The 4893-nt window shown below is 38.5% G+C and overlaps 1 annotated feature.

Annotated features, from left to right (window-relative positions):
* Positions 1–4893: part of a centromere (Linear centromere model derived predominantly from reads generated in PMID: 17803354. This region does not represent an actual centromere sequence, as long-range ordering of repeats and unmapped WGS contigs is not provided by the model. For details of model production, see http://arxiv.org/abs/1307.0035.) that runs on past both edges of the window.

Below are 4893 nucleotides of genomic sequence, written 5' to 3'. Positions count from 1 at the left end.
CAAAGAACTTACTCAGTATTCTTCTTTCTAGTGTTATATGAAGAAATCCCGTTTCCAACGAAGGCCTCAAAGAGGTCCAAATATCTGCTTGCAGAGTTTACAGACAGAGTGTTTCCAAACTACTCTACGAAAAGAAAGCTTAAACTCCTTGAGTTGAACGCACACATCACAAAATAGTTTCTGAGAATGATTCTGTCTAGTTTTTATACGAAGATGTTTCCTTTTCCACATTTGGTCTCAAAGCGATTGAAATCTGCAACTGGAAACTGCACAAATAGGGTGTATCAAATCTGCTCTGTCTAAAGAAGGTTCAACTCTGTGAGTTGAATACACACACCACAAATAAGTTACTGAGAATTCTTCTGTCGAACATTACTTGAAGAAATCCCGTTTCCAACGAAGGCCTCAAAGAGGTCCAAATATCTGCTTGCAGACTTTACAGACAGAGTGTTTCCAAACTACTCTATGAAAAGAAAGCTTAAACTCCTTGAGTTGAACGCACACATCACAAAGTAGTTTCTGAGAATGATTCTGTCTAGTTTTTATACGAAGATATTTCCTTTTCTACATTTGGTCTCAAAGCGATTGAAATCTCCAACTGGAAACTGCACAAATAGGGTGTTTCAAATCTGCTCTGTCTAAAGGAAGGTTCAACTCTGTGAGTTGAATACACACACCACAAATAAGTTACTGAGAATTCTTCTGTCGAAAATTACTTGAAGAAATCCCGTTTCCAACGAAGGCCTCAAAGAGCTCCAAATATCCACTTGCAGACATTACAAACAGAGTGTTTCCAAACTGCTCCATCAAAAGAAAGGTTAAACTCTGTGAGCTGAACACACACATCAAAAAGAAGATTCTGTGAATGATTCTGTCTAGATTTTATAAGATGTGTCCTTTTCTACCGTAGGCCTCAAAGCGCTTGAAATCTCCAGCTGCAAATTCCACAAAAAGGGTGTTTAACATCTGCTCTTCTAAAGGAAAGTTCAACTCTATGAGTTGAATACACACAGCACAAAGAAGTTACTGAGACTTCTCCTATCAAACATTATATGAAGAAATCCCGTTTCCAACGAAGGCCTCAAAGAGGTCCAAATATCTACTTGCAGACTTTACAGACAGAGTGTTTCCAAACTGCTCCATCAAAAGAAAGGTTAAACTCCTTGAGTTGAACACACACATCACAAAGTAGTTTCTGTAAATGATTCTGTCCAGTTTTTATACGAAGATGTTTCCTTTTCTACCTTTGGTCTCAAAGCGATTGAAATCTCCACATGGAAACTCCACAAAAAGAGTGATTCAAATCTGCTCTTTCTGAAGGAAGGTTCAACTCTGTGAGTTGAATACACACAACACAAATAAGTTACTGAGAATTCTTCTGTGTAACATTATATGAGGAAATCCCGTTTCCAACGAAGGCCTCAAAGAGGTCCAAATATCCACTTGCAGACTTTACAGAGACAGTGTCTCCAAACTCCTCCATCAAAAGAAAGGTTATACTCTGTGAATTGAACGCACACATCACAAAGTAGTTTCTGAGAATGATTCTGTCTAGTTTTTATACGAAGATATTTCCTTTTCTACATTTGGCCTAAAAGCGCTTGAAATCTCCACGTGCAAATATCACAAAAAGAGGGTTTCACATCTGCTCTGTCTAAAGGACAGTTCACCTCTGTGAGTTGAATAGAGGCAACACAAAGAACTTACTCAGTATTCTTCTTTCTAGCGTTCTATGAAGAAATCCCGTTTCCAACGAAGGACTCAAAGAGGACCAAATATCTGCTTGCAGACTTTACAGACAGAGTGTTTCCAAACTACTCTATGAAAAGAAAGCTTAAACTCCTTGAGTTGAACGCACACATCACAAAGTAGTTTCTGAGAATGATTCTGTCTAGTTTTTATACGAAGATGTTTCCTTTTCTACATTTGGTCTCAAAGCGATTGAAATCTCCAACTGGAAACTGCACAAATAGGGTGTTTCAAATCTGCTCTGTCTAAAGGAAGGTTCAACTCTGTGAGTTGAATACACACACCACAAATAAGTTACTGAGAATTCTTCTGTCGAACATTACAGGAAGAAATCCCGTTTCCAACGAAGGCCTCAAAGAGGTCCAAATATCCACTTGCAGACATTACAAACAGTGTGTTTCCCAACTGCTCCATCAAAAGAAAGGTTAAACTCTGTGAGCTGAACACACACATCAAAAAGAAGTTTCTGTGAATGATTCTGTCTAGATTTTATAAGAAGATGTTTCCTTTTCTACCGTAGGCCTCAAAGCGCTTGAAATCTCCAGCTGCAAATTCCACAAAAAGGGTGTTTAACATCTGCTCTTCTAAAGGAAAGTTCAACTCTATGAGTTGAATACACACAGCACAAAGAAGTTACTGAGACTTCTCCTATCAAACATTATATGAAGAAATCCCGTTTGCAACGAAGGCCTCAAAGAGGTCCAAATATCTGCTTGCAGACTTTACAGACAGAGTGTTTCCAAACTGCTCCATCAAAAGAAAGGTTAAACTCCCTGAGTTGAACACACACATCACAAAGTAGTTTCTGTGAATGATTCTGTCTAGTTTTTATACGAAGATGTTTCCTTTTCTACCTTTGGTCTCAATGCGATTGAAATCTCCACATGGAAACTCCACAAAAAGAGTGTTTCAAATCTGCTCTTTCTGAAGGAAGGTTCAACTCTGTGAGTTGAATACACACACCACAATTAAGTTACTGAGAATTCTTCTGTGTAACATTATATGAGGAAATCCCGTTTCCAACGAAGGCCTCAAAGAGGTCCAAATATCCACTTGCAGACTTTACAAAGACAGTGTCTCCAAGCTCCTCCATAAAATGAAAGGTTATACTCTGTGAATTGAACGCACACATCACAAAGTAGTTTCTGAGAATGATTCTGTCTGGTTTTTATACGAAGATATTTCCTTTTCTACATTTGGCCTAAAAGTGCTTGAAATCTCCACCTGCAAATATCACAAAAAGAGGGTTTCACATCTGCTCTGTCTAAAGGACAGTTCACCTCTGTGAGTTGAATAGAGGCAACACAAAGAACTTACTCAGTATTCTTCTTTCTAGCGTTATATGAAGAAATCCCGTTTCCAACGAAGGCCTCAAAGAGGTCCAAATATCTGCTTGCAGACTTTACAGACAGAGTGTTTCCAAACTACTCTATGAAAAGAAAGCTTAAACTCCTTGAGTTGAACGCACACATCACAAAGTAGTTTCTGAGAATGATTCTGTCTAGTTTTTATACGAAGATGTTTCCTTTTCTACATTTGGTCTCAAAGCGATTGAAATCTCCAACTGGAAACTGCACAAATAGGGTGTTTCAAATCTGCTCTGTCTAAAGGAAGGTTCAACTCTGTGAGTTGAATACACACACCACAAATAAGTTACTGAGAATTCTTCTGTCGAACATTACTTGAAGAAATCCCGTTTCCAACGAAGGCCTCAAAGAGGTCCAAATATCCACTTGCAGACATTATAAACAGAGTGTTTCCAAACTGCTCCATCAAAAGAAAGGTTAAACTCTGTGAGCTGAACACACACATCAAAAAGAAGTTTCTGTGAATGATTCTGTCTAGATTTTATAAGAAGATGTTTCCTTTTCTACCGTAGGCCTCAAAGCGCTTGAAATCTCCAGCTGCAAATTCCACAAAAAGGGTGTTTAACATCTGCTCTTCTAAAGGAAAGTTCAACTCTATGAGTTGAATACACACAGCACAAAGAAGTTACTGAGACTTCTCCTATCAAACATTATATGAAGAAATCCCGTTTCCAACGAAGGCCTCAAAGAGGTCCAAATATCTGCTTGCAGACTTTACAGACAGAGTGTTTCCAAACTGCTCCATCAAAAGAAAGGTTAAACTCCTTGAGTTGAACACACACATCACAAAGTAGTTTCTGTGAATGATTCTGTCTAGTTGTTATACGAAGATGTTTCCTTTTCTACCTTTGGTCTCAAAGCGATTGAAATCTCCACATGGAGACTCCACAAAAAGAGTGTTTCAAATCTGCTCTTTCTGAAGGAAGGTTCATGCTCTGTGAGTTGAATACACACACCACAAATAAGTTACTGAGAATTCTTCTGTGTAACATTATATGAGGAAATCCCGTTTCCAACGAAGGCCTCAAAGAGGTCCAAATATCCACTTGCAGACTTTACAAAGACAGTGTCTCCAAACTCCTCCATCAAAAGAAAGGTTATACTCTGTGAATTGAACGCACACATCACAAAGTAGTTTCTGAGAATGATTCTGTCTAGTTTTTATACGAAGATATTTCCTTTTCTACATTTGGCCTAAAAGCGCTTGAAATCTCCACCTGCAAATATCACAAAAAGAGGGTTTCACATCTGCTCTGTCTAAAGGACAGTTCACCTCTGTGAGTTGAATAGAGGCAACACAAAGAACTTACTCAGTATTCTTCTTTCTAGCGTTCTGTGAAGAAATCCCGTTTCCAACGAAGGCCTCAAAGAGGTCAAATATCTGCTTGCAGACTTTACAGACAGAGTGTTTCCAAACTACTCTATGAAAAGAAAGCTTAAACTCCTTGAGTTGAACGCACACATCACAAAGTAGTTTCTGAGAATGATTCTGTCTAGTTTTTATACGAAGATGTTTCCTTTTCTACATTTGGTCTCAAAGCGATTGAAATCTCCAACTGGAAACTGCACAAATAGGCTGTTTCAAATCTGCTCTGTCTAAAGGAAGGTTCAGCTCTGTGAGTTGAATACACACACCACAAATAAGTTACTGAGAATTCTTCTGTCGAACATTACAGGAAGAAATCCCGTTTCCAACGAAGGCCTCAAAGAGGTCCAAATATCCACTTGCAGACATTACAAACAGTGTGTTTCCCAACTGCTCCATCAAAAGAAAGGT

Source organism: Homo sapiens, chromosome 12, assembly GCF_000001405.40.
Source record: "Homo sapiens chromosome 12, GRCh38.p14 Primary Assembly".
NCBI lineage: Eukaryota > Metazoa > Chordata > Mammalia > Primates > Hominidae > Homo > Homo sapiens.
Note: the sequence above shows the minus strand (reverse complement) of the source record. Positions and strands in the feature narration are given on the sequence as shown.